At 37.8% G+C, this 26849-nt stretch overlaps 1 protein-coding gene and 1 long non-coding RNA gene across 4 annotated transcripts in view, besides 2 other annotated features; one reads left to right on the top strand and one right to left on the bottom strand.

The window, feature by feature from the left end:
• Nucleotides 1-14868, bottom strand: part of PCDH10 (protocadherin 10) — a 59313-nt gene extending 44445 nt beyond the window's left edge. For 2 of the 3 annotated variants that reach the window (XM_011532150.2, NM_032961.3), the window contains exons 1-4: nt 11391-14868; nt 9797-9855; nt 9139-9245; nt 880-1185 (exon numbers count right to left, since the gene is read on the bottom strand). In XM_011532150.2, the coding sequence (XP_011530452.1) occupies nt 880-1185; nt 9139-9245; nt 9797-9855; nt 11391-14021 (3103 nt within the window). In that variant the 5' untranslated portion in view covers nt 14022-14868. Of the gene's footprint in view, nt 1-879; nt 1186-9138; nt 9246-9796; nt 9856-10273 lie in introns of those variants that run through there. The other variant, NM_020815.3, reaches the window with a different exon arrangement.
• Nucleotides 14815-14954: a silencer, noted in NCBI's record as "silent region_15691". NCBI's record gives its function as "represses an Ori minimal core promoter by ATAC-STARR-seq in GM12878 lymphoblastoid cells {active_cell/tissue: GM12878}" and the evidence as "EXISTENCE:reporter gene assay evidence [ECO:0000049][PMID:35858748]".
• The window catches only part of PCDH10-DT (PCDH10 divergent transcript), a 55257-nt gene continuing 43453 nt past the window's right edge, over nt 15046-26849 (top strand). Inside the window, exons 1-7 of the long non-coding RNA NR_125885.1 lie at nt 15046-15133; nt 16886-16963; nt 18417-18558; nt 21380-21451; nt 23503-23576; nt 24281-24336; nt 25129-25202. This is a non-coding gene — a long non-coding RNA (PCDH10 divergent transcript). The remainder of the gene's footprint in view (nt 15134-16885; nt 16964-18416; nt 18559-21379; nt 21452-23502; nt 23577-24280; nt 24337-25128; nt 25203-26849) is intronic.
• Nucleotides 15065-15124: an enhancer, noted in NCBI's record as "active region_21907". NCBI's record gives its function as "activates an Ori minimal core promoter by ATAC-STARR-seq in GM12878 lymphoblastoid cells {active_cell/tissue: GM12878}" and the evidence as "EXISTENCE:reporter gene assay evidence [ECO:0000049][PMID:35858748]".

Here is a 26849-nt window from a genome sequence, read left to right as displayed (position 1 = left end):
GATTTTTTGGTTCTGAAGTGCTAAAGTGGTACATCATGCTGGGGTATTTGTGGTTCTGAGTAATTTGAAAAGCTGAAAACAATCCTTCATAAAACACCACCTATTGTTGTCACTACAATGTATGCATCTAATAAAAGACCATTCCTTTAAGCATATAACACTTGTCTATTTGCTTTATCTATGTCCAGGTTAATAGCCACAACCTCAATGCATTCAATCTTTGCTTTTCACGTTATACTTCATAAAGGCTAAAATAAATATTCCTCTGTTTTTTTCCTTTAAGTTTTTAAAAACTCTTTTACTTTTCAATTTCATCAGTCATAAAAGAAATGACATATCTACAATCTGTCTCATCTTTCGTTCTAGCTTATAAGTTCCACAGTTATTTTTGTAGTAGATGAAATAAAACATTACGTAGGATGGATCTGCTATGTAAGTCATCTTTTGATTGAGTTGTTATGAGTTTTATCTTTATCAAACATTATTTATGTAGTTTGACCAAGATATTGAATTGCCAGTAATATTTATCCATTAACTAAAAGAAAAATATTTCTATTTCTCATTACCAAGATCCTCAAAGGAAATATATTATGGAATCTCAAAGCATTTTTATTGTTTGCAATGATTATATAAAATAATCAATTTGGAGAATATAGTCCTATATTTTGAAAGAGCTCAGTGCAATTATTAATGTCTCAATGTTAGAGGAATCTATTATTTTAAATAAAGAATATTGCCCTAAAGTGCTGCCAGCATCCAGTCACTTTTATCTTTATTTCTTAAAAAAACCTGAACTCCATTTTTACCAAAAAGAGTGGAATGTTGAACTTTATCTCCTCAAAGGGAACACTTTAACAGAGCCCTTTGTGTAATACTTACTCAAATATGGTGGTTTGTAAGGCGCTCGCGTATTAGTCAGCAGTCCATCCAGCTCCTTCCTCTCCAGAGTGCTGTGAAGGGCCTTCTCTTTGCCAAAGGTGGAAAAGGACCGCTCTGCCCCAGGCTGGGCTTCTGGAGTTTCAAACACCTCAGTGTCTGGAACAGAGTCCATGCCAGGAACATGCAGATTGCTGCGATAATCAGCAGCCTGGCGTCCATCAGAAGGGACAAAAGAAGGCATCCAGCACCGATCTGAGTGGCCCAGAGCTTTACATTCCTCAGTGCAATTGGAGAAGAGATCCATACCTGTAAGCAGAAAACAGAAACTACGGATGTAGTCTTCACCAACATGACCAGTTACTTAGCAGTGTAAGATTACAGGTAGCATAAAGGGTGACAAGTGAAGTTGTCTTAACAAATTTTTCCTGGCTTATCCTGACAGGAACCAAATATTATTTTGTCTCATTTTTGTTCATCACTTTAAAAAGGGAAAATGATCTGCAAATGTAAAAGATAAGACTCTTCTGGCAAAGAGGCCTCTGAGATAAATGTTTCTAAACTACTTAGGGTATTGGGCAAAATATTGGCTCTAAACAATTTAAATAACTGGGAAATGGTGAATAAAAATGGTAGACATCTTTTAAAAAATCTCTTGTGAAGTTCATAACAGATAAAACAACAAGGTGTAAAAGCTTTAAAATCCATGATCCCTAACAATGATAAATATTTGACTTTTTTCCTTAAAAACAAATAACATAAGAAATATGCCAAGCACCAAAAATGATATTTAGATTATGAAATTTGAATATGAAGCAGAAAGTGAAATTCAACAGAAATGTGGCATACACAGAGGAAAATCAGTAAAAAACAAGAATAAAACACAATTTCATTAGCAGCTAAAAGCATATTTTCCGAGGTTTCTAGGAAATGACTTCCTAAAGGTATTCCTCAATGACACTCTGGTAGTCCATATTACTAAAAACCACTTATTATTTACCACCTTAGACAAATCCAGAACAAATGACTGTAATTAATGAAACCAAGGTAACCAAATGCAGTGTAAATCAACTGCAGATACTATTGACAAATACGTTATTACTTGCTCTATATTGGAACACACTTGTCCTAGTCAACAAAGAGTTGTTTGCTTACTAATCCTATAATACCAAGATTTCAAAGGACAAGTTCAAATTTCATTGTCTTCCTTAGATTGACAAGATTACAAATATTATCTGATTATGATCAAGAAAGGTCATTCAGTTTCTTAAGCAAAGCATAAGAATTTTCAAGCACTACAGAATACTATTTGATATTAATGCTGATATATATAGCACTACACAGAAAAACACATAAACAAAAATAGCATTTTAATGTTTTTCTAAACATAGTAACATATCTATCAGATATTTTAAAACAGGGCCAAAGCAATCTCAACCTATTCTCAAACTTTAAATGGCTAAGAAGCTCCCCAGCTCACTGGCATGGAGCTGGGTGTGGAATGACAGTGCCTAGTAGGCCACTTTATTTTTTAAATAATATTTTAAAAAAAGAAAAAATAATAAAAAAATTTTAAAAGAGGATCAATTTGAAAAACAAAAGTATATTATTAGTCTGTAGAAAAGAAACTCGAATCCATGCACAGTCTGGAAAAACATTTTTTAAATCAAAAGAATATTTATTTAATGAACATACTTGATTGTTACTTCTATTAATATCACAAGTGATTTGAGCTCTTGAGCAAGTTTTAGTTTTTAAATTCCTGATAGTATTCTGTTACATATTGATTTATATATATTTGTGTATATGTTATCTGCATATATAAAATAAAATAATTTTTCAAAATTATGAACACTCTGGTTTGTCTAACACTATCTAGATTATCTAGATTATCTAATACTTAACTCTAGTATTTTGGAGTTAAGAATAGCAAATTACATAAATTTTAAAAAGTAACACCAAGCTTCTTATCATATATTAATCTCACTGCGTAATGACTTTTTTAAAATTTTATATTAAACTATGTAGAATGCTAAGTCTGACTTTGATTATAATATTTCACTGATAATTTTCCTGTTTAAGTCTGGAAATAAATTACTGATCAGTGAACTGTTGAGGAACGGAAACGTCAGCTGAAGCTGGGATTAAGGAATCTGACTGAGAACAGCATGTAAAACATGTAAATGTTTCACTAGACACCAGAGAAGCTCACTCCTTTATCCTAATTTTGCAAGAAGATATGTGAAAAGAAAAAAAGAAAGGGAACTAGAATGTCCCTGATACACATTTACATACTAACTAGGTAGAGGCTACAGAACCAGAGAGAAGATTGATACTTTGACATGATAAGTGCTGCCTATTTATTAATAGAATGATGGGGGAACATAGATTTTTTTAATAGTAGAAACGTCTTTAAGAGTAAAATTATTATGAGCCATTATTTATTTCTAAAATAAAAATATACTCAATTTGAATAGCTGATATAATTACATTCCAATATACATTAGAACTAATATCATTTTTCTTCACGACGACTAAATATCATTTTCTAGATAAGGCAATATACAACCTTTCACATATTTTTTTTGCACCTAGGCCCAACTACTCTTCTAATTGTGAATATGACGATTCCACACATAATTTTAATAATCTAGTATGTCAACATATATTAGGATACTGCTTGATTTTGGTAGAAATTACTTTTACGTAGTTTTTACTCCAATGTGCCTATTTTCCTATCTGGCAAGTATGTTTTTCTTCTGCCTCTTTCGATTATTTGAGTTTGGTTAAAATTTCCTTAGATTATGTAGTAAAGTTCACACAAGTTGAGAATCTGTATTAAAAATAAACTATAGCATGTGCATGGCAAAAAAAAAAAAGTGAGGATATAGAAAAAGTTTTTTGTTCAATGAACAGTATCACTCTACAGAGGCAATAAACATGTAAATAATGTTCTTAATAAATCTATGAATTAATCCTTTTAAAGTGGAAGTCCTTTAGTAATAATATACAGCTTCATATAACTAGAAGGAAAGGTAAGGTGGCTCAAATTGTACATAAATGTTTCACCAGTATTATTGATAAGTGTACCTATTTCTCAGGAAGAAAAATCAGACATAGAAACAAACATTTAAAACAACGTAAATAGTAAATCAATAAACTTCAGATAAGTAACAGAAAAATTAATTAAAAATTGATTTTTTCATTTGTTATGTAGTTATATAGTTTGAGAGCTACATAAATTTATTCCATTACGATTCCTCACCTTTGGAAGATACTGTATAACTAACATTTTATCTTTTATCTCCTGTCCCTAGTCCCATTAAATATAGCACTTTAATTACCAAGTAAGCAGAGGCATATTTAAGTTTTGTTGTGATAAATGACTTTATGATGCACAGGGATGCCAGATATTACAGTAGCTAGGATATATTAAAATGCATAACTTTAACACTGCTCTTACAATTTTTTAATAGCTCAAATTGGCAGCTCAAAAGTTAATAAGTTTAACTTAATTTTTCTTTTTCTCATTCAAATGCCTTACTATGGAAACTGTGGGATTTTAGAACAGAAAATTACAGACCAAAACTCAATTAAATTAAAAAAACAATTAAATAGACTTTAGGGATACAAGTGCAATTTTGTTATGGTGGTGTAGTCTGGATTTTTAGTGTAACCATCACCTGAATAATGTAAATTGTACTCATTAGATAATTTCACATCCCTCACCTGGCTTCAGTCTTCCCACCTTTCAGAGTCTCCAATGTCTATTATTCCAAACCTCAGTTTTGAAATTTTGGTAATATCTAATAAATGTTTCAACATATACCTTTTACTTGCAATCTCTTTTTCTAGTTATTTATTTTTTCCACTTTTCAGAAATAATCTGTTCTGCAAGGGATGATAGCTGATGTGATAGACTGCCTGTTATGCAAAGATATATTTAGACAAATTTTAAAGTACATGGTTTTCAACTGGCAAGTAACTTGTCCTGTACACTCACAGGCAGTGGATATTTCCATTGAGACCAAATTGTGATTTCAAAAATTTTAGAATTCAATTTGTGCTACTTTTTCGGTGACTGTCATAATACAATATTGCGTGAACATTTCTTTTTGTGCAACAAGCTTTCATTCAAAGCGTTTATTTTTTTCCAAATATGATAAATTAATTTTAAAGAAGATATAAAACTTTTCATTTTTTGAGATTTCTAGTCCTCTTTTAACGACTTAAAATACATTAATTGTAACCACAAAAATTGCAGTATGTTTTAGAAAAACATGGTTTTGAAGCAGATAGTTATTAACATAACTCACTCATGAAAAAAATCAAAATATGCCCATCAAAATTTTCTCCCTACCAATAATCTTTCAAAATGTATATATTTTTCACCATTTCCTCTCAATATTTCATCTTCTATATTGCCTCCAGTTATAAATCTCTGCACATTTTCAAGTTGCAGCTCAAAGTTTCACCAGTGAATAAGGTTTTATAAATACTGGTGTAAATCCATTTTATATATAAACCCAAAATCAAACTTGGCAATTATCTAAATTCTTAATGGAGTTTGGAAATAGGTATTTGTGTTTATAATAAACCAAGAATTCTATTGCTGACACTGTAGTAATGCACTGGCTTAATGCATTTCAATGGTATATTTTATCTACTAATTTGAAATTATTGACCAATCAAATCACTTTATTTTTAAAATTCATAGCCAAATTTTGACCATGCATTATATCTATAATTAGTTAGAAACTAAACATATTTGGAAGATAAGTTCTCCTATAACTGAAAGAAAAAATTATTGAAGAGAAATTTGACAATTTTCAGAGAATGTCTAACAAGTAATTCAATCACTTATTAGGATTATCTCTTCAACATATTTTTTTAAAGGCACAAGGTATTAAAAATAAATCTATAATTAAGCTTAGCATTATTGACAATGTAGGTATTTTATAACGGGAAAAGCAACCTCTCACTACTAAACAGATCACTTTAGATATACCTCAAATAATATTAAAATGTTTAAGAATATACAATTTAAAATATTCTATCTGTATCCTAAAATAGAAGAAATAATTATGCTTTAATGATATAATAAAGTTGAAAATATATTTCTTTAAAGTCCAATTCTTTGGCTGTTTAAGCTGTGATTAATCAGTTTTTCCTCTTGTGATGGTTTATGTCTGCATTTGCCACTTCTCCTTGGACTACTGCCATATCTAACCAATACATCAATAGTTCACTGAAAAAAACGGGAAGCACCTTGACAAGGCTATAGAAAGAAAGTGCCACAGAGCAGTGGTCAAGGCGAAGAATTTCACACATGGAGCCAGGTGCAGTGGAAAACTGAAAAAGCTTATGTGATTCTCTGTGCAGCTGCCTTCGTGTTTAAAGCCCTTCTATGAACAACATTGGTGACGGCAAATGGCTTAGAAAAAAGAAAAGCAAGAAGGAGGGGGTGGAAGATAGAACAAAAAAAGAAAACTATTCATAAAAGAATAAATAGAAGGCATATCTAAATAAATAATACAGAATAATGTTAATGTAGAAAAAGAAATAGGAATAAAGAAAAAGGAAGTTTAAACAGGTGAAGCACTAAGCTAAATAGTCTGTACACTATAGTGTGGAATATGGTACAAACTGAAAGAGAGAATTCGGAGTCTCTATCTTTCCAATGTTAGTTTTGCTTGATAATCTAACTTTTCCCTACTAAAACCTAGTTAAGTGAGATTTGCTTATTATAACACAAGGTTTTTTTCCTATCCTGAACTTAGAAAGCTATGCTATGAGTAATATTACCTAATTTTGCAAAATTGGAAAATCATTAATATCTGGCTTTACAATGAAATAAAACAGATTTATCTGAAATGGGCTTAAATTTTTGGAAATAGTCTAGCTGCCTGATGTGAGGTTTATAGTACATAACAGCAGTATGGATTGAAAAAAGTCTTTAAGCAAATGCATTTTAATTCTCTGCATTTGAGGTTTTATACTTAAAAAAGAAAACACTTCAAAATTATTCTTACAATAAAATTAGACATTAAATCTGATTGCAATTCAGCACACAAAGGTGCAATCACTTCTTAACATAAGTGCTTTATTACAATCCTAAAATAGCTATTATTGTGCCCAGTATGTTGTGGCTGCCGTGTAACTACTAATAAGATACATAAAAGGATTGTTAATTCTGTAACACTTTTACATGTTTAAGAACTTAAAGATACAAAAAAATTTTAACATTTTGATAAAAACAAAAACTGCCTGGCTGAAATGTTTTCCACAACACATTTTAACATTTTAGTATTCTTTTAAATGCTTTGACATCTCCAATAATTTGAAAGAAACATTACAGAAATGGTAACACTGAGTGACTGTGAAATAAAGTAGCTACTGGGAAGATGCACTGATAAGAATATGTTCTCATCTATCTTCCAAATTTGGCTCTTTTGCAGATGTTTATTCATTTCTCTTTCTTCAGTTAGGTTATTATGGGTCATTATGTCTGAGGGACTAAACTAATTGAAATGTTCATTGAGATTGAAGTGCTACAGGAAAAACAAAGCGGGGCGTGTGGGGTGGGAAAGGAGTAAAATGCATCCAAAGAAACATGCAACAGATACTCTTTAAAACATTAAACATTTTGTTTTAAAAGTTTTAAAAGGTTGACAGTTAAATTAGAAACTCTGAAAAAGAACAGGAATGAGCAATGCTAAATGTACAGTTTTTAAAGATAACAATAAATCATATGCCATATATAGGGCAAAAATGAAAGGGACTTTGTACGCACATATAAACTTCTGGCAAGATCTGGTTTGTTGTCAGGTTCCCAGACACTAAATAGATGCTCTGTTCACTTAGCGTGAAGGCCCGCAAGGGGCAGAGACCTCCGGGGATTCTTGGCAGTTCTCAAGTCTCATTAGGCCTGCATATTAATGACTCACAGCAATATAAAGAGACCCTTGAGCAGCCTTTTTTCCCTTCCTCCTGCCTGGGTTTCCCAAGGCTAAGGCAGCCACAGACACAGCACACATTAGCCAAGTGAGAGGCTTGTAGCAACCACTGCTGCCAGGCCACCATGGGGTGTACGCTGCCCTTTGACACACTGCCTCAGCACCATCCAGAGGTCCACAAGTGTGTTAAGGAATGGGTGCTCTCGAGGACTAATATCACCTTGAAAATGAGAACCTATCACTCTATGGTTATATTATTAAGTAAAATAAAGGTCCAGTCTCAAGAGAGTTGAACCCAAAGACAGTCTAAGATCGACATTTTCAGGAGTTAGAAAAGTTGACTAGCCTTTCTATTTCTTCATGTGTCAAATAAACACAAAACTAGATAGAAAAAGTAAAATATTCAACAAACACCCTTCAAAGATGAAAACCAAAAAATTAGGAAGGACACCAGAAGTTTATTAAATCATTTTCATTTTAACATACATATTTTATTTCATGTAAGAGTTTCCTTTTAGTATTAGTAATAAGAGTTACCAGGATCTCATAAAACTTGACTTTCTAAAAAGAAAAGTGAAATAAAATGAATATATAGCACATTGAAACCTATCAGTGACTACCATCAAGCCCACAAACAAATATACTCAGAGTTCACCTTTTGATGTGTCATGGACCCTGTTGAAAATATGAAGAAACCAAGGACACTTCAAAAAATACACATTATCACATATTACCTAACGTTCTGAAGCCTAAGACTCAAGATTAGAAACTCTGTTTTCAATCCATTAATGACTTTTAATCACCATTACTTTTCTCATTCAATACTTGGTGGTGTGTAAAATGCATTGCCCTGGAAAACAAGAAATGTGGATTCTAGTCTTCAATCATCCATTTATCTTCTTGTGACCTTGTGCAGGTCAATCAATTTTATTTATCTTCAGTTATCTCATCCATAAACAAGTTTAAGAATACCTTAATTGACTGAAGACTGGTAACTGGACCAAGTGAGAGAGCTATGTCTTTCTGTATGCAATGTGTCCATTAAAGAACATTACATAAGCAAGATATATTTCGTATTCTGACACTCTCTACAATGAATTCCTAACATTAACTCTCCAAAGGAACATTGCATTTTTACAATTCTCTTTAAGTCTGCAAATATCAAAGTAGAGTGACACTATTTTTCTGTAGAGTTACCAGCATTAGACCTATGGAAAATTGCCTAGGACATCATCCTTCCTACGTTTATTTTTAAAAACAAAAACTATAAAAGTTAGCATTTAGATTGCCCTTTGATCACACTTACCAGCTGACTGGGCACGGTTGGTGGCATCATGATCACTATCTCCCTGTTCACTGTCTCCATGACCACTGTCCTTAGAGCTTACTATGTCGGCTTCCTGGAATGCAGAACTAGAAGTACAAAAATGTGAATATTAGAATAAAAAAGGTGAAGAAACACAGAAAACATTCTTCTGCCACCACATGGTCACAGATGGTGCTGCAGACTCACAGACCTCTTAGTTGGCTTTGTTTCTGCATAAAGCTAGTTTTTATAGCCTAAGCTTAACTATTTAAAAATGATCGATTAACAGTCATTTTGAGCACTTAAGTCATGTAAAGTTTAGGCATTACTCTATAATTGGAGCTAAATACATGTTTATATCATTTTCATAAAATAGATATAAATATACATTTGGAACAGTGAGGAAGACTATCGGAAGCTGTGTAGGAGTGTAAATTGACAAAATATTCAAATATAGTTTAAGCGTTGTATATAAATGAAATATAATGTATAATTTTTAATGTATTGTCTAGGAAACACAATATAGTTCATATTTATGTCCTGCCTTAATTGAAAATATTTTATACATTTCAATTTTAATTTAGAATAATATACCTACTTCCTACTTTTACTAGGTTGTAAATTGTCCATTACTGCTAGGGAAAAAAAGAGTCCATACCTGTTAACTCGGCGAGGTCTGTCAACTAGATAGCTGAGCTCTGCTCGCTGGTGTTTAGTCTAGGAAAAAAATAAATAAATCAAGAGCATTTGAATGCTATGGGTTGAACTAGCAGTCTACTTTTGAGGTTAGGAACTATATCTAGCTTAAGTAATTGTATACATTTTTATGAATTTCCAAGCTCTCCTAAAACCTCATCCTAGTGATTGCTGTGTAAGGGCAGGGGAGATATGCAGGGACACTTAAATCCACATTTTAGTCACTTGTAAAGGTTAAAAAAAAATTGGCTAACTTTAAATGTGTGTGTGTTTTTTAAAGAGAAAATGCAAATGACCTCATGGCTAGAGCTCATATACTATTGTCTCTAACAGAGTCAACCTGTTTATATTCTGCTGTCTTTTCCTTCAGTGGCTTAAAAAAGTGTTTAGGTGCATACTGGTTGACACAAGAAAAACAGCACGCTCAATAAGCAAAAAGTTTGGATATTTCATGGAATTATGTTGTTGTTTATTTTCAAAATGTGCTTAAGATACAAATGAGCTGTACAAATATTCATGAAAGTCAATTAATAATATCTAAGACTCAAATAAAATAACCTGCCAGGAAAGGAGTTCATAATCCTGCCCGCCCCCCACCACCCCCATTCTTTTCCCCTCCAAAGGCCCTCTGCATTCGCCTCCCCACCTCTACCACCCACACACCTTTCCGGTCCAAGCTTTCTTTCACATAAACCAACTTTGTTCTCCCCCCAACCCCCACCCTCCGACTTTGTCACTTCTCCATCCTTTTAAAAAGAAGTCAGAATTGACAAGCCAAATTCTTTTATGAAGAAAGCCAACAGCGTGATTTATCCAAAACAGTGGCAAGAAGGTGATTATTAGCTAAAAAGATATATTTAAGACAACAATTGTTTAAGCCTTTCGTTAGTTTACTCTTAACAGGGGTTTGTGCCAACGCAGCTTCATTCAAATTCACACTGTGTGGGCGCTCGGCTTCAAGAGCGTCTGTAAATGCTGTCCAGAGCCGAACTGAAGGCTTTTTTTGCAACCCGAGTTCAGAGGAGAAGGATCTGGTAACTTGTTCACTAAAACATGAATTCGAGGTTAGACAACTGTGTAAAGTTAAACAATCTATAGCTTACTTGTACACGCGACTAAAAGCATCGTTAAACAAAGCAAAATAGAGCCAACTTTATTAATGCCTGGGACAGACGCAAAGAAAAAAGACCTTTGCCAGTGCTAGAAAGTAAGTCCCTCCTCCACATTTCCCTCTCCCTTCACGCAGTTTCCCTTCATGCCCAGGTTACTGAGAAGGGAAAGGACTGACAGGATGGAAGAGCAAAGGAGGGAGCTCCAAGGTGGCAAAGTACCAAGGGGACGGAATGAAAATAAATGTGAAAGGGTGGAACAACGCGAAAGTTAGGTTACACACGAAGGAGTGGGAGAAGGTGACCGCCCATCTCTGCTCCCACAACGATACACATAAGCTAATATCCTAAAAATAGATACAGTGCACCAGAGATACAAGGGCCGGGCTAGAGGAGGCTTTCTGATGGAGGAGATGAGAGATGGTGGTCCTTTCGCTTCAGCCTTACCTCGTTGGACAAAATGCTTCCGTTGGAGATGATATCAGGCTGCTGGTCGGTGTAACCGGTGACGATGGCCCCGCAGGGGTTGTGCTCAGTGTCCGTACTCCGCGAAGGGCTGCAGGGCTTAAGAAACATCAGGTCGGTCTTGGCGGACTCAGGGGTCAGGCATACCTGATAGCAGTAATTCTGGTTGTGGTGGTGGGAGCCAAAGCCCCCGGACTCCTCTATCGGCACCTGGGCCGGGTTACTGGGTACATTGGAGCTCTGCACCAGCATGATGTCTGACTTGCTGAGTTTCTTCTTGCGCGCCCGGGCTTGGCGGCCACAGCAGGTCGAACCTCCGCCACCGCAGCAGCAGCAGCAGAGGCAGCAATCGCTGGCCAGACAAGTATAGATGTTGAGCTTCTTCTCTTTTTGGCAACGCACGGCCAGCACGATCATGGCCAGCAGGAAGATGAAGGACACCGAGCCCAACGCGATGATGAGGATGAGGGTGAGGTCTAGCGAGGTTTCCCCGCCGCCAGAGCGACTGGGGCGCTGGTGCTCTCCTGACCCTCCGCCTCCGCTCCCGCCCCCGCCCTGGGGCTCCACGGCGCCATCCACCAGCTGAACCACCAGGGTGGCGGTGGAGGAAAGGGGCGGCTGCCCATGGTCGCGCACCTCGATCACCAGCTCATAAGGCCGCTGGGGGTCGCGCTTGGCCGGGACTCGGCGTGCTGTGCGCAGCTCCCCGGTGCGCCAGTCCATGCGAAAGAGGTTCATTTCGTTGCCACGCACGATGCTGTAAGTGAGCCGGGCGTTCTCGCCGTCGTCCGCGTCCACGGCGGCCACGCGGGTGAGCAGGTAACCCGGCTCCGCCGAGCGGGGCAGCACCTCACGCGCTGGAGTCCCGTTGCGCCCTGGTAGAGGCGCCACGATGGCAGGGGCGTTGTCATTTTGATCCACTATGAGGATGTTGACAGTGGCGTTACCAGCCAGCGCCTGGGGGCTGCCAGCGTCCCGGGCTTCCACCTGAAAACTGAAGTCCTTCAGCTGCTCATAGTCGAAGGAGCGCAGGGCGTACAAGTAGCCGTTCTCAGAGTTGATAGAAACGTAGGTGAAGACGCTCATGCCCTGGATCTGGCACTCGAGGATAGAGTAGGCAAGCTGGGCGTTGGCGCCCTCATCCCGGTCGGTGGCGCTCACCGCGTAGATGTAGGCGCCAGGCACGTTGTTTTCAGTCACATACACGTCGTAGACCGGCTGGCTGAAACGCGGCGCGTTGTCGTTCACATCCGACACTTGTACCTGGATCGACTTACTGGTGGAGAGCGCAGGCTCGCCCCGGTCCCGAGCCACTACAGTCAGGGTGTAGGAGTCCCCCGCCTCTCGGTCCAGGGGGGCTTCGGTAACGATGGTGTAGTAATTCTTAAAGGAAGACTTGAGGCGGAAAGGCACGTCTCCCAGTAGCTCGCACTGCACCTGCCCATTCTCCTCTGAGTCGCGGTCAGTCACGCTGAAAAGGGCCACCACAGTGCCGGGCGCCGCGCCCTCACTCACCGCTTCCTTCACGGTGCTGAAGCTGATCTCTGGCGCGTTGTCATTAGCATCCAGTACTCGCACTAGCACCTTGCAGTGCGCAGGCACGGCGTTGGGGCCCAGGTCCTTGGCTTGCACGTACACTTGGTACACTGGGCTCTCTTCATAGTCCAACTCGCCGCTTACCTCCAGTCTGCCAGTGCGCGGCGAGAGTCCGAAAAGCTCCCGCGCCCGGGGCGAAATGTGGCTGCTGAAGGAGTACACGACCTCACCGTTCTGGCCCTCGTCCGGGTCGGTGGCGTTGAGCTGGATCACGAGAGTGCCTGGGGGAGAGTTCTCTGGTAGGGACACAGTGTAGACGGGTTGGTCGAAAGCGGGCACATTGTCATTGGAGTCCAGCACTCGGATGGTGAGTAGGGCCGTGCCGGTGCGCTGCTGCTGGGGGGGCAGGCCTGCTCCCCCGCCACCTCCCCCTCCTTCTCCTACTCCTCCCCCACCTCCTCCGTCCACCGCGGTCAGCACGTAGCGGTGCACCGCTTGCTGCTCTCGGTCCAGTGGCTTCTCCAGCACCAGCTCAGCGAATCGGTTGCCATCCCCCTGGGTCTGCACGTCCAGGGAGAAGTAGCTGTTGGGGGTGATCTCGTAGTCGCGCAAGGAGTTGGTGCCCACGTCTGGGTCGAATGCGCTCTCCAAGGGGAAGCGAGTGCCTGGCGTGGCGCTCTCAGAGATTTCCACCGTCAGGTCTGGCTCCGGGAAAGAGGGGGGGTTGTCATTAATGTCCAGCACCTCGATCTCCACCTGGAACAGCTCCAGGGGGTTCTCCAGAAAGACCTCCAGGTGCAGGACACAGGAGGGGCTCTGTTTGCAGATTTGTTCGCGGTCTATTTTCTCGTTCACGTACAGCACCCCTGTCTCCAGGTTGAGGTCTAAGTAAGGGGTCCTTGAGTTGGGCACCGTCTGAAACCCGCGAGCCGAAAGTTTTGTAATGTCCAGACCCAGATCTTCAGCGATATTCCCCACGAAAGTGCCATGTTCCTGCTCCTCCTGTACCGTGTAGTGAAGCTGGGAAAAGACTCCTTCCACCATCCAGAGCAAGGCAAACAATAATAGCACAATCATCTCCAAAAGGAAAGGAAGTAGCTTCCCGCAGCCAGTCAGCCACCCAATCACCTCCCCCACCACCACGAAACAAAAAAAAATCTGAAAAAATACAAATAAAAGTGCGCTACGTGGGGGCTCCTGTGGCTTTCTGTCTTTAAAAATCTTACTCCTTTTGCTTCATTTTAGAGCTTCCCGCAATCCAGCCTCATTTTTTTTTAAATCTTAGCACAGGAAGGGTGACAGGCGTCCCCTTTCCTCATCTGTAATCTTTCCACTGACTAATTAATAAAATAACAATAATACAATAGTCAGCGTCCTTTATTCCGACAGTCTTGGCGCTGGCAAATCCCAAAGAGGAAATTTCGATATTTCAAGACTGTCCTCGGTTTGTCTTCTTGCTGATGGGAGGAGAACGAGGAGGAGGAAAAAGAGGAGGAGGAGGAGGAAGAAGAAGAAGAGGAAGAGGAGAAGGAAAAGGAGATGCTGTTGGCACCGTTAAACATGCCTCTTAATGTCAACGGCTGGCAAATGCAAAAGGGCTTAAAATCAGCGATATAATTTTGTGCCGGAAAAGCACAGAACGGCTCTGCAGCTTAAAACTTTCATTCTCTTCATTTCTCCGGATGGATGTTCTTCTTGACATTTTTTTCCTCTTTCGCTCTATTTGTATTTTTTGTCTTTCAGAGTCTTGGTTCCCTCTGTCCTCATCTCCACCGTTACTTGCCTCTCTGTAAGTGTAATGAGCAGTTTCTTTTCTGCTGTTTTCTTCCCAAGCCTCTTTCCCTCTAACCTGTCTCTTTTTCCTTCCAGTCCTTCCTTCCTCCTGCTTCAGCCTCTGAGCCTGTGGTCTGGGCTGGCAGTTTCTGAGCTCCGAGCGCTCGGCTTCTCCGTTTTTGCGCAGCGCCCTCATTCTGCCAACCAATCGCCCAGGAGCACCACCCACCGAGCTGCCGATGATTGGCCAAACTGGCCGCCAAACAGACACGTCACGCGGCAGCCGGGCGGGGCGGGACAGAACTCTCGCCCGAGCGGCCGGGGTGAGTGTGAGTGTGAGAGCGAGAACAGCCCCGCAGGTCCCGAGGCGCTGGCTGGGGACAATGCCGCGGAAAGTTCCCAGTCCCCAGCCGCAGGTAATGGGGAGGGAATAGAGAGGTTCCCCTGTTTGCATCAGCAAATGCGAAAACATAATAGCAACAGCTGCGATATCCTCTCCTAGGAGCGGGATTTCCAATGATGCTAACATTCTTTTTCCTTTAAGGTATTTTCCCTAATACGCATCATGGAAATAAATCATCGAGAAGGGAAAAAGTAGCGCAGGGCCCACTAATTGGCAAGGGTTACCTAATTAAGGGACCCTAGCAGAGACTGGCAGGGCATTTTAAAAGTGAGTATTATATGGCATGTGTCAATCTAAAGGTGAGGGGGTCTGACGGGGCCGTGAGGAAAGGCGCGAAGCATACGGAGTAGGGGGTGGAGGTGACTCCTAAAAAGCGGAGGAATTCACGCTAAAGGATGTGGGGATGACAGCGCTTACAGACGGGCAGACGCGTTCGACGTGCTTCTTTCCTCCCAAAATACATATTCACAAAATACTTACCAAGTAGATTAACTCACTCGAGGACCTAGCTTCGAGCCGTGAGCGCGTTCATCAGTGACTGAGGAGTTGATTTGAGCCGCTTCCTACAAGCCCGCCATCCTAACGCCGGGCTCTGGGGCATCCGGCACACAGCACCGCCAAGCGCTGCAAAGCGCCTCTGATATCCCTGCGCCTTGTGCGGCCAAGTGCCACGCAGCGGCTGGGAACACCGGCTATTTTCTATTTTTTTTTTGGCAATTGGAGATCGATCCCTTTACCCACCATGCTAGATTAGACCACTGATTTCTGCCAATCCTGGGGTCAGCCCGCGGGATGAGGACAGTGGGGCGGCGGCGAACGCGGGCGGGGTGGTGGGCAGGGCCCGTGCACACGAGGGGCCCGAGTGTGCACCGCTGCGGGTATCTGCGAACACGTTTGCACATGCACGGTACTTGCATCCATCCTCCCTGGCCCAGGGCTTAGCTCTGTGTAAGCCCCAACGGAGCCTCCCCGAGTTCCGAAGGACGCGCTTGACCAGCTGTGAGTGCCCCTTCCGGAGGCGCAGGGGCAACGCGGCACATCCACATAGCTAGTTCTTGTGAAGTTAAAACACAGCGCGAACTCTTTAATGCTGGAGAGTGGATAGAATGCCAGTTCTCTAAGGAAAGATCTATAAATATATATTTTTAATTAATGGGCCACTAGCAAGGAATTGGTTGTTTATTCACGAAAGAAGCCCCTATTCAATCTCCTTTTTATGCAAAGAGATAGGAAGGTCCTTTGCTGCTTTCTGGTAATGAATGACCCAAGAATACACCACCACAACCTGCGGGAAAAGTAGAGTCGTTTTCCGACCTGGAGATACGTTGCCATTTCCTCCTGGCAAGGAGTTAAGGAGGGCTAGTGTCCATGGGCGTGATAGTAGCCTGAGACGTGCTTCTGAGAGTCCCGCGAATGCACGTCTACTGCCCTGATTTCCGCGCCCCAACTCCCCGCAACGCCGGGTCCCCCCGGCCCCCGCACTTGGCTCTTTCATGAAGATGGGTCCTGCCTTTGAGCGCTTAGAAGGAAAGGATTCCAGCAAAAATGGCTAATCCTTTTCCAGCTGCAGTAAATTGAAGACTGGCCAAAGCCAAGCGAAAACCGCTGCAGTTAAAATGATTTTAGCATCACGTCTGCGGCTGAGAATGGAGCGGCAGTGTATAAAGGGACCTGTGGATCAATGAAAAGGAGATTATAGTGTATCTGAATATTAATACGGTATTGCATCTGTACTTCCACCCCTCCCCCCTTTCTTTTTCTTCAGATCTGCAGAATTGAAATGAAATGTTTTGAGCTCTTCAAGCTGACTCGTCAGAATCCTGGAGCCTTTTAAAAAATGACGGTAATTTTCTAATGCGTTCATTTGTACGTATGGAAACACTTGTGTGTGTGCGCGCGAGTGCGCGCGTGTTTGCATGTGGGAGACATGCAGCTGAATGACAATGCAGATCCAGAAACTGGGGAAGAGGGTTTCTACCCCTGAAATGTAGATGAAGTTTGAGCTGACTTGGGGCATATGCTGAAAGCCAGAGAGCTTCCAGAGGTGGAGATGAGATGGCCAGATTTGCCTGTAAATAATCACTACATCCACTGTAACACTTGAGCTGCTTTTATTTTTTTTTATTTTTTATTTTTATTTTTGGTAGCAGATGTGTTTGAATGGAACTCTCTCCGCAAACGTGGGTTACAGGCGTCTCCTAGCGGCGAAATCAGCATAGGGCAGGCCAGAGAATTTTGCTTTGGAGAGCTCGCCTTTTGGGGGCTCTACAAGATTTCTTGGGTCATAGGGGTCTGTGTCCGCACCAGCGTCGCTGAGCCCAGGCCCCCTAGAGGTCTCGCCTCTCCGACTTCTAGTCTTTGTGGCGCCAGCCAGGGACCGGCGGAGTGACGGTAGGGTCTTCTTCCCGGCCGAACAGAACAGAGCCTGGTCCTCCGCCTCCCGCTAGATAGCTCCAGCCAAGGGCAATTCCAAGAGCATTTTGTTTGGAGCCAAGATCAGATAGTGGCATTAATAGCCTTCTATGCCCCTTTACCCTAGAGCCTTTAAAACAACCATGCCCCGTCACCCACAAAACAAAACAACACTTTAAATTTGCCTTTTAAAATGCCTCTAAAATGTAACAGGTTTACTTTTTCCCTTGCTGTGTCAATCAAACAGATCCCTGCCTTTCGTTTTTCTTTTTCATTCTTACTCCCGTGGACCCCAGAATTTAGTGAGATGAGGTTTGTATATACGGCAGCCTCAGTAATGAGGCTGACTACCTCTTTGAAGTGTAGAGCATCATGTATATTCTGTGTTCCTCAATCCCCCCGTTACTGGAGCGGAAAAGGAGAAGGAAATATTTTGTACGTAATCCCTTCTTCACCCTCCCCCGTCCACCCCCTAGGAGCGCAAACTGTTTGAGCCAGGACAAACTGCACCCTAAGAAACAGAGGAATAGTTTTATTATTTGGAGGGAGGTTATCAAAATCAGTTTTCATAAAAGTCCTGGTTTATATATTAGAGTGATAGTGCACATTTTTTATTTCATTGGGCTTTAAGTGCAGCAGAAACAGGGGGGCGCTAAGGATCCCACAAGTGTGTTTTACAAACTTTGAAACTGGGTTAAGGGATTGCTTTCTTCTCTGCCCTTTGCTGCAAAGGGTGGGGCAGAAACAAGTTTGTTAACCAGCCTTTGGATAAATGAGTGTTTGCAGTGATTTAACATGACTTGAAAGCAATTTGTTTCTAAATCCTCTTATTATTGCTATGTGCCCAGAGCTTTGAGGGAAGTTTTTTTTTTTTTTTTTTTTAGAATTGGAAGGAAAAATTACTTTATCAATAACCAGGCTCCACCAGGATTGACCTAGATGGTTGTTCCTGGCACTTGTCATTCTCAGCAAGCACAGCTCAGAGAACAAATACAAAAGACCCAAAGTGCATTGCATCTTTTATGGGTAAGCATGAAATAGGTTTATTTGTGGTAGTGTAATCTAACTTAAGAGGTGGGAAGACAAGGCTTTGGAACCAATGCCACAAACATTGTGTTAGTTTTTGTTCATCTATAGTAAAAAGTGAATGCTGACTGGAATTTCTGGGAAAGATTTATAGCATATGCAATTTTAAGTATTCAGGTAACTCTTTAGTTACTGTGTTTTAATCCTTCAAGCCCATCAGAGAACAAACCAATCCTTGTTCTTGGGATTGAAAATACTAGATATCCCATCAAGCACCATTATCTTGATATTGAAAGTAGAAATGTGCTTCTCCATTTTGTTTAACCTAGTTAATATTGGGGTGGCTTCACATTTCAGTGCCTTTTCAGTTATCAAGCAGGGACAACATTTTGTTAAACTCTAAACAGTGAATTAAAAGCACTGAATGAGCTGAAGCAGCCCTCTAATGCAAAATGACAAATTGCACTTAAGCAATACATGAACAAAAAATGATTTATGGATTTTTACAATGGTCTGAGCAAATGAAAGCAACATGAATTATACATCCTAATGCTCACAATATCATTTTCTAATAATACTGTTTCAGTTCAGATACTATACTCTGCTCCTTTCTGTAAGAGAAATTGATCAATAAGAGGTCCAGGAATGTTTTTAAATTGGGCACTGGTTTGTGATACTGATTCCAAAGTGTGTGTGTGTGTGTGTGTGTGTGTGTATACATATGCATATATATATGTGTGTGTGTGCATATATTTTCTTTTGGTTTTGGGGAGGTGGGTTGATGACAGACATTGAACATGCATTCTTGTCAGATTCTTCACGTATTGTGTCTTTTGGTAGTAAATAGTCCTTTGAAAACTTTTGTTTGTTCCATACTATCTTTCAGAATGCAGATAAATGGATTTCAATCAAAATGACAGTCTTTATTGCCTTATGACTTCTTTTTCTAAAAATTAAAATGTATTACCTCATCTTACCCTTTTCTTCCGTTGCTTTGGATATTAAAATATCTTATTTCTCCAAAATGTCTCTTAACCTCTTCATATTTGTTTTATCCTCTCTTTTTCAGATCATTGTTTTATTCTTTAGAGCATTAGAAACATACCTGGGCTAGTAAAAAGGTCATGGCACCTTAGTTTTGTAGCCTTAGTAGACAAAATACACACTATGGGTTGTCTTAAATTACAGAAAAAAAAATCAGTCAAATAAAATTTTATGTGCTGTTTGTGTTTTGAGTCTGAAAAATACAAAAATCTAGTTTCCTTTGTGTTATGATGATTGACTACTCCTAGCATTTTTATTTAACCGTTTGTGGTTTGTATAAGTGGTTATTTTTTGGGAGGTATGTAGAATTTTAAGCGAGGGTGGTGTCTGTGCTGTGTTGCATCCTCAACCACAGGAAACTGCTTAATCACCCAGAGGCCTCTAAAGTCACATTATTAGGCTTAATCTTAATTATCCAGGTTTATTTAAAAAAAGAGAAAACAACATTGAATCCCCGTTTCTGCTTTTGACAGCATTAATAACTACTTTTACTGAAAGATTACTGAAATCAATGATGTGATTAGGATTGTAAATAAGAACTAAAAGACATCACATTTAAAAAGCCAGCTGCTTTGCTTAACAGGGAGATGTGTGGGTTTTACTGACATGGCCCAGAGACAGAAAATGAAGCTTCAAATATAGAGGTCTATACAGAACAATTTCAAAAATTAATTGCAAGTCCTGATCAAGTTCATATGAGTAAGAGAGAAGTTGTCTAGAAAGAGCTCTTTTTTTTCCTTACCCAATGTTTTTACTTTTTATTTGATAGTGATACAAAACCTGCATAGTTTTAGTGTTTGCCTGGGAAGTGTAAACTATTTTCTTAAAAGGAAACCCCTTGATTTTTAAAATACAGAATAAGATTATTCTGTATAATAAGAATAAGAACCCAAATTGTGATTAGGGTTGCAAGTCATAGAGCTATATTCTTATTCTTATAATAAGATAAGAACCCAAATCGTGATTAGGGTTGCAAGTCATAGAGCTATATTCTGAAGAGTTTTAAAACATTATTGGGGACAGACATTATCAGAATAATATAAAACACAGCTTGAGAATTACATTAATAATTAGAATTACATTAGAATTAAAATAGTAAATCAGAACAAACAGTAAAACAGATACTTCAATTTAAAAAAAAAGTATTTCTCTCAGTTTCACTGCCTGCTTAGTATAACTCTTTGTATAAGAAACATGATTTCCATGATATCTTATTTAAACGGGCTTGGCAAATGCTGTACTTTATCCTCTATTTTATTGCAATTTCATCTATTCTTTTTAGGTGAAAGTTACTAATGGTTTTTAAACAGCTTAATATTTACCTAGAATTGTTATGTAAATTATATTTGGTATTCTCCATCTATATAGGTTTTATTATCCTAACATTATAATTAATGTTATAAGGATGTTCAGAGTTTAAGTAACTCACTACATTATTACAGAATTCAAATCCAGATCTTTTGCTGCCCATATACAGGCTCATTTTATTACCCCATGGGCTTTCTTCAGTCTAACTGAATTGAATTTACTTAGGAGGTAAAACAAACAAAAATCTCAAATTAACTTAGAAATGGAGTTAATCCAGATTTTTGACTGACAGAAATGCTGATTTTATCCTAGTCAAATTGGCTAGTACTTTACTGAGTTGAGTGATGGAGGAATTCATAAATATGTTTGAGGGTTTTCTTCTTTAGGGATTTTTATCAGTGAAACAAAGCTTGAATATGTTTTCTTACAAGAAAGCAATATTATAAGCAGTCATCTTTTTCTCATGCAGAAGTGCCCAATGTGGAAATCATAGATTTCAAGGAAGGAACAAGAAAATTGATGAAACAAGTTCAAAAGAAAGGTACCTGTGCCTCATCATTCCTAAAGAACACTGATCAATGATCCCAGAAGTATGCCATGTTCTCTTAATTCATCAGAGACTGAAAGCAAAGGAAAATCAAGAAATGTACACAGTTTACACGGTGCAAATATTGGTGTTTATTTTGTAAACATTTCTGAAGCAGTCTTTAAAAAGGGAAATGTGTTTTTGTTAAATGAATTTCAAGTATCACTTCATGCTAATTTCGTCCTCAATGTTGCTTAAAAATGGTTTTAATTATAAAGTTTTGAAAATTAAAAAATTAAATTTATTCATGCCAGAAGAAAAATGGACAGGAACTTAAAAATACCTTTAAATTTTGAAAGACATAATCAAATGAAGATGATTGTGGCATCGTATTTACTACTATAAGTAAAATTTATATGAATATTTTGGTATAAGAACTGACAGAAGAAAAACATGTTTATTTTAGAAGTGAACTCAGTAATTCAGAAGATACATAATGGGCTCTATAGGGTAGGTTATACCTCTTTTTTACTCATTTCTGAAGGTACCCGACTATGACAGGAGATGATATGGTAAATTTATGAGGAACATAACTTTGAGAATTAAACCAAATTGGGTTCATATTCTTGCTTCTCTAAATATTTGGACTTGGAGAAATTACTTTGAAGCCCTATTAAGTGTGTCAAACATTTGAAACATTTATTAAACTATGATGATACATTGACCTTGTTATTTTGAGGCTTCAACTGAAATGATATAGGTAAAATTCTTATTCTATAGTGGATTCTCAGTAAATGTTAACTATTTGTATGGTAAGATGTTTTGGATGAGGTAGTCTATAAATAGATATTTGTTGAGAATACTCGGCATTAATTTTCTTGGGGGTTTTATTTCCTTTATCAAATATATATTATTTACTAAGCAGATACCAAAACATTTAGTGTCCCTGTTTTGAGGGAAATTGCAATATGATTTTGAAGACTAGATGCAAATGATAAGTGAAGAAGATAACTAACTAAATTTTAGTTAAGCTTCAAAAATATAAAAGTCAATTATGAGCTTTTCCCATAATTATATATCACATTTACTTGCTTTCTTTCAGATAAACTTTTATTTTCAGTAAGTTAAAATTTATATGATAAAACTGATAGGCAGATAGATTATAAAAGTCATTTTCGTAAGCAGATAGCTCATTCATTTTAAAATAGTTTTCTATTTAAATATTTATCAAAATTTTATTACTAAAGGGCTTTAATTTGATAGAGTCATTTAGTTTTTTTCCAATTCTTTAGAGTAATATCTTAATACCTTCTCCTCTATTCCTGCTAATGAGTGCTAAAATTCTCAAAATTAAAAACAAATTGGTGAAAAATAAGCCTCCTAAAATAGAATGAATTCATTAGAATACCCAATTCTGAGCTTTAAGCCTCAATTGTATTTGAACTTTCTTTTCAGCATTTTCCTTGCCATTTTCTGCCTATGATTGCTTTTATTAACATTCTCTTTAGTAATTATGACAATTTGAGAGGCAAAGACTCTCAAAAACATGCATTGGTGTTGCATTGGCGCCTAGTCATAGGAATAGTGAGAGAATGGAAAATAAATGTAAATTATGATATATGTTTCTCAAGAACTTCATAGTCCTTGATTTTGTAATCAATTTGATAAGGAATATATATATGTTCAAATAACTTCATTAAGAGTATGAAAATTATTAAAACATTTAATGACTATGAGTGCTAAAGGCATGGAGAATAAAGAAAACACTTGGATAAAATAAATTAAGCAAAAATTTCTAGAGAAGGACAGCTTTTGTTATGATTTTAATGGCAACAGTGGTGCAGATTGGTAGAAAGAAATATCTGAATAGGGTTAGATGGACTTGAGCAGTAAAGAAATGAAGGCAGGGATAGCAAAAACACTTTTCTAGAAAGGTCATAGAAACAGCAAATGAATGTATTCAATTATGGGCCAATATCCTGAATTTGGACCCAGTTGCTTAAATGCATAATTCCAGCAGTCCTCAATTTTGTTTCATTGATTTATGTTTTCCCCATCTCCACTAGAAGCTTGGCCAATTTGATGTCAATGGAAATGCGTGAGATTTTTATTCAGCATTCACACCTGAGCAATGCTTTTGGTATGTCTTAGGCTAATAGCCAATGTTCAGTCTTAGAATTGTGATAAAACTTAATATTATTGCTTGTTCCTTAGCATATATATTTGAGAACCTTGGCAGCTGCTGCTAATTTAATGGTAAAGTGCTGATTGCTGATTTTCTCAAAGCTTTTTTTTAAACCATACCTAGTCAGACTACCTAACCAAGTACCTAATTTAACAATAATATATTTACATTTTGCTGGATAACACCAGTGGTAAAAGTATTGTTTAAGCCCAAGGAACCTGACAAGCATTCAGTTGGTCACAGTTTTTGATGGATTTGTTGGCTGCATAACTAATTAGTACTTAATGAAGATGTGCTGACTGGATGAATGAATGCTTGACTTTTTACCTTTCTGTTTTAAATTTTAAAATATATTTCTAAGATATTATACCTCAGTTTCACAAGCTATGTTTTTAATAATCTGATTTGTAACAAGTCTTTTAAAATGTTATTTTTAAGAAACTTTACCTAAAATGAAAAATTCACTATACCTAATTACAAGTGCCAATTAATACAGTGCATTTCTCAAAACTGCCACTACTCAAAAGTGGTATCTCTTCTTATAATTTTCTTTTGTTTTCAGATTTTCTTCTCATTTCATAATACTATGTTGAATATATAAATATGTATAGAGTAAGTACAATGGCCAATATTCTGAATTGTTTTGTTCATTTTATAAGGTCATGATGTCATACTAAGAAGAAACCACCTGAGATGAGACTGTTAGATGTTCAGAGTAAGTATGGCTGATACAGAAAGACATTTGCTGCCCCAGGTAGAATCAGGAGGTATTTTAATTTTGAAGCATGTTGCAGGGTTAAGTTAAAAAGAAAGGTTGATTGACCTGTTAGATTTAAAATGATGTCTTGAATTTCAAGTCAGAGGGGACACTGTTTAGCTTCTAGTGTCTCTGTTCTTCACCCTTCTGAAATGGAGATATTTCAGTTCAAATATGGTACGTTGGTTGCCATAGTATATTTTCTTTTTTCTTCTCTTGGGTTGATGGCTAACCCCAGTCTTCTTTATTCCATAACTGACACACTCATATTGTTTGTGGTTTAAATATTATGGAGTTTGTAAATACTTAACTCTGTATTTTGGCCACCTAATAAAGCGTAGGTCGGTTGTCCAGAATGCAAGAGTTTAAGTGGAAATGTACAACACATGCTCACGTGTGTACACACACATACACGTGAGGAAAAAATGGCATTGCAGTTAAAACTTTGTTTTTGTCATAATAAAATAGAAACAGATCTGTGAAACAGAAGTGATCACAAAATCAGATGATGCTACACACAGCGTATACTTGGATTACAGTGGAGAACTTGCACAACCGTTGTGAAAAAGAAGGTTTAGTTTTTTCGTTTTATACAATACACAAATATTAATTACGGATGGATTTAAGCATTCATTAAATATATAAAACCACGGGGTAACTAAATTTATAGCGTACTGAATATTTATATCACTCAGGTATGTTTTTTAAAACCGGGCTTAACATTGTACCTTTTCATATCTACTCCCCAAGGCAAACAAAAACAAAAACAGACCAACAAAAAAAACCCAAAACAAAACAGAAGTTTCTGAAGGACAGCAGAAATGGTAAGTTTTTTCCATGGTGCAAGACACTAAATGGAAAGTAACCTTCTCTTGGGAGCTACACCTAGGTAGACCTAGTCATGTGAACCAGTGATGATAGCAACAGATGAAGATTCTGGATGGGGAAAGTAAGGCTTGAAAATTTTGGATATGTCTGTTATTAAAATGTAAGCCTCTTTTGACATTGGAGTAGCAAGAGGGGGTAAGTAGAATTGTTAGCCTTTTAAAATATTCCTCATTAAGAGGATTTTTTAAAAACCCAATTTTTGGTGTTAAAATCCAAGACACTCTGGAAGGTGGCTTATTTCAGTTGGAAAGATAGTAAGCTGGTTTTCAGGGCCCAAGTAGACAGTATATTTTGGAATCCTGAGGTCTGTTATTTCTAACATGCATGGATAGCATTGACAAATTCTCTTCTGACTGAAAATCTAAGTTGCTGATGTTTTTGATGGTTATTTATTTCTTATCGCAATTCACATTGGAATTTTCCTAAAGGTTTTTTATGTCTTCATTTATTTGTTTTAGTATAATGGTTCTTATCTGATTAATTATATTTTTTCCTAGAATTAAAATAAGATTATATTTATCTCAGAAAGGCAAAGAATGAGTAAATATTTAACCTAGAACACATGATTTGTTTATTTTAAAAGTCTATTGATCTTTATCGTTATTCTTTTTAACAATGTGTCAGAACTAGGCTATGTTGAGATGGGAAAATTCATTTATAATTTTAAAACAATTGCTTCTCTAAGTAAAAATGTTTCTCTTTTTTCTCTTTAAAATTAGTAGTTTGGGTTTAGCTGGCATTCTCATGACTTACATAATATTTATATGTTTAAAATAAGGGTATGCTTGGGAGCATGAGATCTGATTCTTAGGTTGGGGACTGTAACAGTAACTCCTATTTATGTCTCTGTTTTAAAATCAGATCTATTGTATACAAAGAAGAATTTTTATAGGTAATAGCAGAAATGTTAATAGATCTTAAAGTTTTAATTTTAAAAATTAATTAAAAAGATAAATGCCATGATATTTAAGGACCTCTATTTAATATGGTGCTTTTGTCTTAAATTGTTGATGTTCACACTGTCCTTGCAGAATTTTATTGCATTCAGGAACATTTGTGAATTTTCTTTTATCTAAGAAGAATGTGTTATATTTCAGTGAATTATAGGTGGCAGTATACACAGCTAAATTCCATGTGTTACTGCAGGTAGACAGAAGATTTTTCAATTGTTTAACAATTTTATATTTAAGCTTATTGTCATTCTAGCCCCGTTTCTTAACCACCTCCTGTTTTTGGTCTTAATATAAGAACACCAGATAGCCTTCCTTTGATAAGAGAATGCTGGTGAGAAGTATTTTGAATCTCAAGTTTATTCTGAATGTTAGTTAAGATGCATTTAAAAAATTTTGCTAAATAAAGATACATTAGAAAGAGTATAAAACTCATTGACCGCTTGATTTAATATTAAAATGAGAATTTAAAACTAAATGAACTCTTAAAATTACATATCAAGCCAATGACAGAGAATTTTTTATTCTGTCTCTTTCATTTTCTGTTTTAAAAGTTACAAGCAAATATGCTTTGACTGCTAAGTTGTGAAAATACAATACTTTTCTGATTTATTATCCTGAAGTATGATACCT

Source organism: Homo sapiens, chromosome 4 (genome assembly GCF_000001405.40).
Source record: "Homo sapiens chromosome 4, GRCh38.p14 Primary Assembly".
NCBI classification, from domain to species: Eukaryota; Metazoa; Chordata; class Mammalia; order Primates; family Hominidae; genus Homo; species Homo sapiens.
Note: the sequence above shows the minus strand (reverse complement) of the source record. Positions and strands in the feature narration are given on the sequence as shown.